Here is a 12,174-nt window from a genome sequence, read left to right as displayed (position 1 = left end):
GTATGCATCTTTATTTTCCTTATATGGCTTTTGACTCTGTGAGATAGTATTAACTAGTGGGTGAGGTTGTGCAAGCTTGGAAAGGGAAGCCATGACTGAGCAAATTATTCCATATAAGAACAACTCATCTTGAAACATGATTGTGTGCACATGTGTGCGTGCATATGTACATTTGTTAAAATCTTCCATCTACTGTCATGTTTTAGGCTATTCTCTTTATCCTTGAGGACTTATTCTTTTAAAAAAATTGTCATTTTAGTGGGATATTAGGAGGAGAAGTAGGTACACTCATCTTTAACTGAAATGATCTGTCATCTTTATCTGAAAGGTCTCCTCTGACTTTCTTTTCCCATGCTTAATTTTTTCCCATGCTTGATTTTGAAGTCAACAGAATTTCTTTATAACAGCTTTATTGGTATATAAATTACCCACCATAAATTGACCTTCTTAAAGTGTACAATTCAGTGGTTTTTGATCTATTCACAAAGTGCAACCATCACCATTATCTAACTTTCAAACATTTTTATGACCCCAGAAAGAAACCGTATGCCCATTAGCAGTCACTCCCCATTCCTCCCTCCTCCCACCACCCACATCCTTAGGCAAAGACCAGTCTACTTTCTTTCTATAAACATTTGCTTCTATGGACATTTCATAAATGGAATCACACAGTATGTGGTACTTTGTGACTGGCTTCTTTGATCTAGCATAATGTTTCAAGCTTTATCTGTGGTGTCACATATATCAGTACTGCATTCCTATGGCTGGTTAATATTCTATAGTATGAATATACGATATTTTACTTATCCATTCATGTTGATGGAAATTTGGGTTATTTCCATTTTTTGGCTGTTATGAACATTTATGTACAAGTTTTTGTGTGGATATATGCTTTCATTTCTCTTGAGTATCTACCTGTAATTGCTATGTTATATTGTAACTTTATTTTGAGTAACTATTTTCTAACATAGTTTTAGAAAGATTATAGGCTTGAAGAGGAAAAGCAGGATACCCAGCAGCTCCAAGGCCAAGAAGAGGCCCATTGGGGATATTATGGAATTAATTGTGAGCTGGGTGAAATCCTCAGTAAGTTCTTTGTTTTTTTAGTAATGCTTTTATGTTGGAAGAAGAAAAGACATAGTCAACAAGTGAGTTATTTAAAAAGTATACAACTTGTATTAACAGAAAATCAATCTACATAAAAAATATTAAAAATTTGGTTAAAGAATATCAGTTGAAGGGATAGCCAGATGATTAGCTTGCTAGCCACTTAGAGCTCTGCCCTAACTCTGTCAAGCCGTGTTTTGAACACCTGCTTTACTGAACCCATGGAAATAATCAACCTTTTACAATGAGTCCATAAACAATTTGAGGCCCTTAGGGGAGAAAGGAGGGGTAAGAGGACATACAAATAGGCTTAAGTAACTCTGGGCTTGGTTTAACTCATATGGCACCAAATCCACTTACAGGCCACTTATAGCTGAGCATTTAACCAGTAGTGCCTAGAAAAAAACCAACTGGTGGTAGTATGATTTCATCTGAAACTATATATTTACTGTACTTGGCCCATTTAATGTAGTGCTAGATTGATGGAGAAAGCCTAGTTTTATTAGCTGAGATACTGCCAATATTGTTTCAGATTAGCATTTTACATTGTGTGAGGCTCTCTGTCCTATATGCTGTTTGTTTTTTCCAGTCTCCTCGGTACATAAATTCTCATACAAATAAGTTCTTCAGCTGCTAAATGCTTGTGTCTAACCTTTATTGTAGATATGAGGTTCCAGCTTTATAATTTAGACTATTTTATATTTTTATGTACACCACCTGTCCCGACTGACAAGCATTCAGTACCCAATAAATACTCACAAAATAAATATGCTGAGATACTATTTAGGCATTATCAGGAGTTTGTTTTGGTTATAGGACTAAAGTGTAAAATATCACCTAATTCTTTGTTCTTCCTGCAGGCCTTTGCTCTTGGACATACAGGTTCTCTCTGGGAACAGGAGGATCACTGTAAATATTGACTAATTTGGCAATAAACATACCTCTGCATTTTGCAGAATCTAATCAGAATGATAAGATTCGTAGTTTCACTAATAACCTCTAAGAATAGAGGGTAATTTATTAATTTTTATTAGTCACTTTATCAGTCTGCCCTTTGAGAAATTTACGTGAGGCCTCTGAGAACCATATCATGGTCATGAGGTTGTAAGAGATTTGTAAGAAACATAATCCCTCCTTTTGCATAGGAAAATGAAATTCTGTTGCCTATATAAGCTTCTCATCACTCCAAAGAAGTGATTCCAGTCTTGGGGAATGAAATGCGGAGGTAAAACCCAGTCTGATTCTGTACAGCTGGCATTTCATAATTATTTTTCTCATTCTTCTGTAAATACATATTTAGAAAGAAATATAATTCATGTTTTGTTTATTCTTATGTAGTTTATATTTTGTGCCCATGCAGCCTTATAGGTTTCTATTAAAATTTTATTTCTCCACAAGCCCTGAGAATTTACGAAGCTATAGTTTCTCACAAATTAATTAAGATTCCCACCTCTCCACTACACAACAGATTTGTTTATTGATTGATTAATTCAGGAAACATTTCTTAAATATTTACATACATGAGACATGGTGTTAGCTGCTCTGTAATAATGATAACAATAATAGCTAACTTTGTAAGAGTATGCTGATCAAATTGTATGTTATGAGGTCCTGGGCACTTGGATTTAAATTGTAGCTCAGCTATTTGGTACCTGGGTGAATGTGGACAGGCTAATCAATCTCTCTATTTCAGTCTAGTCATCTCCAAATGGGGAACTACTAGATTCCTATTGCTACCATAACAGATTACCATGAACTTAGTGACTTAATGCATTGCAAATTTATTATCTCACTGTACTGTGGGTGAGAAGTGTGTGGGCTCAACTGGTTCCTCTACTCTAAATCTCACAAGGCCAAAATCAAGGTGACAGTCTAGGCTCCTGTATGACTGTTCTGGGTGTTCTAGGGGGAATCTACTCCCAGACTCATTCATAGTGTTGGCAGAATTCACTTCCATGCAGTTGTAAGGCTGAAGTCTCTATTTCTTTGCTGGTTTCTCAGTTTCTAGAGGCTGCCCGTGTTGTCGAGTTTATAACCTCTCTTAATCTGCAAAGTTGGCAACAGCTCATTATACTATTAATATCTAATAGATTAGCAAGTTTTCATAAAACATTTTGTGAGGTTTAATGAGGCAGAGGGAGGGGGGAAGCTACTTTGACAAATCTGGCACCATGAGGCTAAGTATTTTGGTTGTCTTAATGGTTGACCTTCTCATGGCTCTGAGATATATCATGATAGAGATTAGCGTTTTGTCAGTTAGTTTATATTATTCTTTCCTTGAGGCTAAGATTATGAGTACAGTATAACTTCATGGTCATTGAAAAGTCCAGGCATGTGACAAACACTAGGATACATGTCAAGATTAGAGTTAGGTGCCATTCTGTGATATATCTTGTGATACAGGTATAGCATTGCTGATTATAATTATAATTTTTTTTTTTTTAGTGAGAGCAAATATTTGTCACATGGTTCAATGCTTGCTGCTTAACCTGGAACAAAAGTATTTATGGTACAGTTTTCGAGTGCTGAGTAGATTTGTCTGTATGCTATGTATACTGTGCTAGTTGAATGTTTGAATTTTAGCTTGAGAAATGGGTCAAATGAAGCCAACAACAAATGAGAACTTTCAAGAAAACTTGAATAATTTGAAGTAGCACTTTTCACTAATGGAGAGAGATAGTTTTTGTCCTAAGATTGATGTCAAAGAAAATGATGACTATTTTAATTGTGAACCATTATTTCCATCTGCAAAGTTTTCTTAGAATTTTTGGACTTACGAATTATAACATATGATCCTAGTTTTTATTCCAGTTTAACAAGTTTAAAGCAGTTAACATATGTTAATACATCTGCAGAGGTGCATTTCACTTCTGTTTCTGAGGCCCTTTTATGGAATTTTATTGCTGAGTGTCCTTTCCCTGTGACCACTAAAGGAGCTTTTTCTTCTATTTAGATACTATCTGTAATCTGATTCCTACCTAACAGTAATATTCCATCCAACTCAGCAAATTCTATAAATGGACTAAATTATTCCACATTTCTTTAAAATATATTTGAAATATAGATGTACTGTATTCCTATGCTAGTTTGTCTTACTGTGTGTCTTAAAAATGCGTATCATTCTTTAAAACAATGTCTTGAGCGCTTTTAATATGCAAGGCACGGAGGGTGTTTAAAAGATGGTTGAAACTCAACCACCAACTCTAAAAGAGCTTATATTTGCCAGTTTATAGATTTTTTTTTTTACTTTGGCTGGAGACATCAACTACATTTCAAGGAGACCTTCCTGGCAATCTTATTTATAATCTCTATCACTAGCCTTCACCCTGGTCCAAGTACTCCGAATTCCCCTAGCCCTGTTACTATATTTATTGCCTAATGTCTCACCTGCTAGATGGTAGGCTCCATGAGGGTAGGCATTTTCTGTTTATTTTGTTTATGGATTTATCTCAAATGCTTAGAATGGTGCCTGGAACAGAGTAGTCACTCAATAAATGTTTTCGGAATGATTAAATGAATAAAACAACTTCCAACACAAGACAAATTTAAACTGCATTCTGAATCCGCCCCCACGTCTAACCATCCCGTCAGCATCAGCCTGATCCAGGCCCCAGGCCCTTTCCTTCTAGATGGTTACAGTAACCTCTTAAGTAATCTTGCTGCTTTCAACTGTGCCCCTACAGTCTAGACTCAGCAGAGCAGCCGGAGTGGTCCTCCAGGCAGATCATGTCTCCCCACAGCTCAAAACCCTCACACAGTAAACAAAACAAAACAAGAAAAGACCATAGCTTTTAGTCAGATTTAATCAGACAGTAATGATCTGTCCTTTCCCTCTCTGCATTGTCTCCCCACTTCATCTCCTGCTACTCACCCCACCCACCACCACTTGGCCCCAGCCCCAGGACCTCTGCCTCAGGCCCTTTGCGTGTGCTGTTTCCTTGCCTACTACACACTTCCTTATTTATTTCAGCTCTGCTCAAATGTCATGGTATCAGAGGGGCCTCCCTGACCATATTGAGTGAAATAACATCTTGTACCCTGACATCACTCTGCTTTACTCCACTTTATCCTGCTTTCTGTTTCTTCATAGCATGTATGTTACCACTTCACATATATTTTAAACATTTTTTAATTGTCTGTCTTCCCCTCGATTAGAATATGTTTCATAAAAGCATGGAGTTTGCTTTTGTATTAGTCAGGGTTCTCTAAAGGGACAGAACTAATGGAATAGATGGGTATTTGGCTTATTAAGGAGTATTGGCTCACATGATCACAAGGTGAAGTCCCACAATAGCCCATCTGCAAGCTGAGGAGCCAGGAAGCCAGTCCGAGTCCCAAAACCTCAAAAGTAGGGAAGCCCACAGCACAGCCTTCAGTCTGTGGCTGAAGGCCCAAGAGCCCCTGGAAAATACAAGGGTCCAAGAGTGGGTCTGGTGTAAGACCAAGGGTCCAGAAGCTGAAGAACTTGAAGTCTGATGTTCAAGGGCAGGAAGCATCCAGAACGGGAGAGAGATGGAGGGCAGAAGACTCAGCCAGTCTAGTCCTTCCATGTTCCTCTGCTGGCAGCTGATTAGATGGTGCCCACCCAGACACTGAGGGTGGGTCTGCTTCTCCCAGTCCACTGACTCAAATGTTAATCTCCTTTGGCAACACCCTCACAGACACACCCAGGAACAATACTTTGCATCCTTCAATCCAGTCAAGTTGACACTCAATATTAACCATCACAGCATTGTTTAATGCCTTCCCCATGGTGGTAAAGAATGTTAGACACATAGAAAGTGTGTGATAAACAAATATACTGTTTGTATATTTGTGCAACAAATATACTGTTTGTATATTTGTGCAACAAATATACATTTTGGGTGCATGTGTGCAACAAATATACATTTTGGGTGTGTGTGTGCAACAAATATACATTTTGGATGCGTGTGTGCAACAAATATACATAGTGTGCAACAAATATACATTTTGGATGTATGTAAACAAAAATAGAAGCATTGCAAACTTTTATAATGTGAGACCTTAAGTGAGCCATCATAATTATCAATATAAATACGAGAACATGAATGTATAAGGCAGTGTTTATTGTATTTAGATATGAATAAATCAAAAAATAAAGCCATAGCAAAGTAATTATTAGGAAATTTTTTTTTTTTTGACAGGGTCTCACTCTGTCACCCAGGCTGGAGTGCAGTGGTATGATCATGGCTCACTTCTGCTTTGACTTCCTGAAGCTCAAGCGATCCTCCCATTTCAGCCTCCCAAGTAGCTGGGACTACAGGCATGTGCCACCATGCCCAGCTAATTTTTGTATTTTTTGTAGAGACGAGGTTTCGCTATGTTGCCCAGGCTGGTCTCAAACTCCTGGGCTGAAGCAGTCCGCCCACCTTGGCCTCCTAAAGTGCTGGAATTACAGGCATGAGCCACCACACCCTGCCAATTATTATGAGCCTTCTTTCTCGCAAGCGTCAGAAGGCATCTTCCTAATAGGCACATTTGTACCACCACTGCCCCCATGCTGCTACCCTAGGCATTCTTCTACAAGCCTCCTCTGAAGGTGTTGAGCAATTATTATTCTCATATGTAGGAAATCTTATTTGTAGGGTTGCAGCAGGCTGGCAGTAATGGTAATATTTACCAGATATTTCCAGAAACACTTTACAAAATGCAGATACATAATTAACCTGTATGAAAAGAGATGAGGCAAAATGTCATGCTAATAAATTAAGGTCTTTACTGTACTGTCAGTATATTTGAACAGGGATTCAAGAAGTAAATTATAAATGTAGGTGTGCTGCTGTCAAAGCCGCTGATGTAGAGGACGCTCACATCCTTGTCCAGTGGGTGAATCCAGGAATCGATGAATCTGTCTTCCATCACAGGAAACAAAAATGCTGTGGAAATGGAAGGAGGTAGATGGAAGATATTTCTCAGTTACTTTTGACTTTTCAGAGTATATTTTGTGATTCTTCCATTCAGGCCATGAATGATTTTTTTTTTTTTTTGAGGCAGGGTCTTGCTCTGTCGCCCAGGCTGGAGTGCAGTAGCATGATCTCAGCTCACTGCAACCTCCGCTTCCCAGGTTCAAGCGATTCTCCTGCCTCAGCCTCCTGAGTAGCTGGGATTAGCCACCATGCCTGGCTACTTTTTGTTATTTTTAGTAGAGACAGGGTTTCATCTTGTTGGTCAGGCTGGTCTTGAACTCCTGACCTGGTGATCTGCCCACCTCGGCCTCCCAAAGTGCTGGGATTACAGGCGTGAGCTGCCGCGCCCAGCCGCCATAAATGATTTTATGTCATTTTGCTAAACATGAAACTCTCTAAATACATCCGTCTCCCTTCCCATTGTTTGGCTGTTTTATTTCCTGGAAAAATTGTTTATCGTATTTCAGAAATTGGAAAATGATGAAAATGCTGCTGCTTTTTCAAAGATGTTATTGTCATAAATTCACAACTATTTTGAATCTTCGTTTTATTAGACCTGGTATCTTTACACATTGCCTGCCTTATGGTTTGAGGTTTCATTTCAGAGCCAGAAGGCCAGAGGCTGATTATCAAGGCTGTTGTAATGCTGTTGCTTGTTACCTTTAAATGCTGACAATCAGACCACAATTTTAAACAGAGAGCAAACACCCATGAAAACATCCCATAGACTCACTTTGAATTAGTCACCATAAAAAAGAAGGCAGAACATTTTCTCTTGGTTCATTATTTGTTTATTTTCATAATATAAAGGCATGAGAAATGGGTATCTCCAATTAGTTCTTAATCACTCCAACTTAATTATTTCATTATCTTATATATCCCTGCTATTTAAGGTCATAGTGCAGTGGAAAATATTATAAACAACACAACGTAGGTCACATAAGTAGTAGGTAGCAGAACCAGGTTCCTCACCCCAGAAATGACTTGAGCCTTCATTCTGATCTTGTGCTCTGAAGCCTCTCAATGTCACTGTGTCTGATTTGCTATATGTTTTCACTTCCTGTCAGTAGCATTATGTTATCCAGGTGCTTTGTAACACTGATTAATTCTCTGATTTTGTATCTCATTTCCCTCATTTTTCTGTTCTTCACTTAACTGGCTAAAGCTGACTTATGTAGGCAGTACAACTGCTTATTAATTATAACTGAATTACATTTTTATTCTCTTAGATGTCTGTTAAAGTAATGGATTGTAGTCATTCCTCTAAACTGCTGTATTTGTTATAAAATATTTTTATTTTCTTCTGAGAGAAAGCATTATACAAAGTCACAAAACTTAGCAATTTTACTATATTTAAGTATTGGCAAAACAAATCTTTGAGACTTGAGAGAAACTTCTCATATGTATGCCTATGAATTTTGATATATTGTTAGACATTTTGGGGTGTATGCTGGGTTATTCGTCTTTTGTATGAGAAATATATATCAAATTCTGAACTATATGACATGTTAGATATTGTTAAAGAAAAAGTTATTCTGGCCGGGTGTGGTGGGTCACGCCTGTAATTCCAACACTTTGGGAGGCCCCAGCCTGGCCAACATGGTGAAATGCCGTCTCTACTAAAAATACAAAAATTAGCCGGGCATGGTGGTGTGCACCTGTAATCAATCCCGGCTACTCAAGAGGCTGAGACAGGAGAATCGCTTGAACCCAGGAGGCAGAGGTTGCAGTGAGCTGAGATTGTGCCATGGCACTCCAGCCTGGGTGACAAGAGCGAGACTCCTTAAAAAAAAAAAAAGAAGAAGAAAAAAAAGTTATTCATTCTGACACTTGTTAAAGAATGGTAAGGCAATCTTTATTCAGGACTATTATGATAGCTAGAGGGACTACTGCATTTGGGGTTTTGCAGCTTGGCAGAGAGATTGGGCTCAACTTGGAATACAAGGGAAAGTGGGAATTACATGACCATATACCAGAGTTGGGATAGGCAGCAGTCAGTGGGTGGAAAATTACTAACAGGAAACCTCAAGGGTCAGGACAGATTATGGCTAAACAGACCTAACAAGTTTCTTGCTGAAGGCAGGCTAAGGTGATCAGACATCATTTGGAGGATGGTGGGAAATGAGTAATTTGGTCAGATATGGAGGGTTATCAGATAGGAAGGGTGGGGATCTTGGCTGAACTGACTTAGCAGTATTCTTACTAAAAGTGGACTCTTGAGGACATGCCCAGAACAGGGCTTAGTTGAAAAAAAGCTCAGAGAAGTCTGACTAGAGATTGGTCAAGGAGATAATCTTTGTCAAGATTAAAAAGCTGTTTAGGAATTAAGTTTCCTTTAGTTTTCTCTGTGTACAGTACCTTGATCACTAAGTTTAGCATCCCCCATGGTGTCCCTTGAAGGTCTCTCATATCAAATTTTATTCAAAAGAATCCTGATTTTGACAAAGTTGAAGACAAAAATCAAATGGAAGATTCCACTGTGGATCAAAAACCTAACCATTGTCTTAATTTGGGGATTAAAACATTAAATTGAAACACAAACCCATTTTGTGCACTGAATAAACCTTGTGGTTTTTTAAATATTTCTTGCATAAGTTAGTAATTCTTTTTATTATTATTATTATTTTTTATTTTGAGACGGAGTCTCTCCCTGTTGCCCAGGCTGGAGTGCAGTGGCGCAATCTCGGCTCACTGCGAGCTCCGCCTCCCGGGTTCATGCCATTCTCCTGCCTCAGCCTCCTGAGTAGCTGGGACTACAGTAAGTTAGTAATTCTTTAACATAAAGTCAAATACACAAGGCCTATCTCAGTCTCTCAAGAGTTTTTTTCTGAATAAAATGTTAGAATGTATTACACCTATGGGCTTTTGTTGTTGTTACTGTGAAATATACCTTAGAACATTTTTATTCTTTTTTTTTCCAGATGGCAGAAATGATGTTCAGGAGAGTAGCTTAAGAGACTTAATAAAAGAGCTGCCAGACACCCACTACTGCCTCCTCAAGTACCTTTGCCAGTTCTTGACAAAAGTAGCCAAGCATCATGTGCAGAATCGCATGAATGTTCACAATCTCGCCACTGTATTTGGGCCAAATTGCTTTCAGTAAGTTAGTGGAGTTTTACTGTTAATATCATCATGTCCCCCTTTGTGTTTACTACTGTCTGAAATTACTGGGATGTAGAAGCATATTTCAGTCTGAAAATTCAGCCAGCTTATTTTGGAGAAGTTGTATCTTGTTCTTGGGCATGTTAGCCTTGTTTTTCATCCCAATTTGAAGAAGGTAGCTATGCCCTTTTTACAAAACTATAATTTGCAATAAATCAAATAGCCTTATTTAAAAATCTGGAAATAAGTTATATTTTAATTAAAAGGGGCATTTAAAAAATCTGTAATCAGAAATGTTGATTAGCAGAAAGAGAAGGAGTATGACATAGTGAATAATTTTTTAAATAGTAATAAAGTTCAAATTATTGCCAATAGATGGAAAATTATGAACAGACTATGCCAGTATCAGAAAAATATAACCTCAGCTTCATTTACTGGAAATAAACCAGTCTATTTTAGTAGATTCTTTGTTGCTAGCCACAGGAACTTTTGTAAAGCTTAATATTTTATTCTCCTTCTTATTCCATAAAGCTCTTTAATTTTTGATACGTGAAATGTGATCCTGCAATCCAGGGACTTTGCTTTTAACTCTCCTATTAATCACCTCTGATATCAAATACATTCTTCTAGTTAAGAGAGAGAGAACATTTACACTCCAAAAGCTCTCAGAAACTCAGCAACTTTTTTTTTAATAGCATATCTACTTCTCCACTTCATTAATATACAGGCTTATTCAGCTGCCCAGAACTAGTAATATTACAGTCTTCAGAATGACTGTCTAAATTTAGATTCTGGCTTAGATCCTAGTGACTACAGGGTTCCAGGTCATTCACAGCCTAATTTGGGTAGAAGTTCTACTGTAATAACTATCCTGATTGTAATTCTAAAGGTGTTAACTTTTAAGTAATGGCATTTCATAGGATATGTTAGGGTCTCGTGAATAAATATCTCAGATGCAGGATCCACTAATTTTTTGTCTTATTCAGAAGCTCCGTGATAGTAAAAAGTCTATATTTTTTCTTATATTTGTTCTGCCCAGTAAACCTTTGTTTGGTGACTTACATGTGAGAAAGGTGTAAGTAGAAAACTGTTGAATAATTCTGAAACCTAGATTCTAGAACAGGTAAAAATGAATTTGTAAATAGAATGCTTATTTAGTAAGCATTAAACACAGATCCATACCTCATTACTAACTTAGACATTGGGCTTGATCTGGAATTTCTGGTAATCTGCTCCAGGTAGTCAGTCAGAATATCAGTAAGTAATGAGTATTTATTATAGGTTCTAATTAGTATGGTTTTACAGTTTTTCTATTGTTGTAAAATATACATAAAATAAAATATACCAATTTAACCTGTTTTGTTCTTTTTAAGACAGTCTCACTTTGTTACCCAGGCTAGAGTGCAGTGGTACAATCTCGGCTCACTGCAACCTCCACCCTCCGGGCTCAAGCAGTCCTCCCACTTCAGCCTCCTGAGTAGCTGGGACTGCAGGCACATGCCATCATGCCCAATTAATTTTTGTATTTTTTGTAGAGACGGGGTTTCACCATGTTGCCCAGGCTGGTCTCAAACTCCTGGGCTCAAGCAATCCACCTGCCGCGACCTCCCTAAGTGCTGGGATTACGGGCATGAGCCACTGTGCCTGGCCAACTCAGGTTTTTAAACTAATGCTTAGCTAGTTTTAGTATTCTTGACAAATTCCATTTACCTAATAGATCAGTCGTTTAATGTAGCTTTTTGTTTGTTTGTTTGTTTGTTTTGAGACAGAGTCTGGCTCTGTCACCCAGGTTGGAGTGCAGTGGTGAGATCTCGGCTCATTGAAACCTCTGCCTCCTGGGTTCATGCGATTCTCCTGCCTCAGTCTCTTGAGTAGCTGGGATTATAGGCGCCCACCATCATGCCCGGCTAATTTTGGGGTTTTTAGTAGAGACGGGGTTTCACCATGTTGGCCAGGCTGGTCTCGAACTCCTGACCTCGAGTGATCCTCCCGCCTCCGCCTCCCAAAGTGCTGGGATTACAGGCCCGACCCTCATGTA

At 38.3% G+C, this 12,174-nt stretch overlaps 1 protein-coding gene across 15 annotated transcripts in view; it reads left to right on the top strand.

Annotated features, from left to right (window-relative positions):
- Positions 1-12,174, top strand: part of FAM13A (family with sequence similarity 13 member A) — a 331,226-nt gene that overhangs the window by 56,080 nt on the left and 262,972 nt on the right. For 13 of the 15 annotated variants that reach the window (XM_047449481.1, XM_047449479.1, XM_011531516.2 and 10 more), the window contains one exon: positions 9,956-10,133. The exons of 1 other annotated variant lie outside the window; for it this stretch is intronic. In XM_047449481.1, the coding sequence (XP_047305437.1) occupies positions 9,956-10,133 (178 nt within the window). Of the gene's footprint in view, positions 1-9,955; positions 10,134-12,174 lie in introns of those variants that run through there. One more of the 15 variants, XM_047449485.1, reaches the window with a different exon arrangement.

Source organism: Homo sapiens, chromosome 4 (assembly GCF_000001405.40).
Source record: "Homo sapiens chromosome 4, GRCh38.p14 Primary Assembly".
NCBI classification, from domain to species: Eukaryota; Metazoa; Chordata; class Mammalia; order Primates; family Hominidae; genus Homo; species Homo sapiens.
Note: the sequence above shows the minus strand (reverse complement) of the source record. Positions and strands in the feature narration are given on the sequence as shown.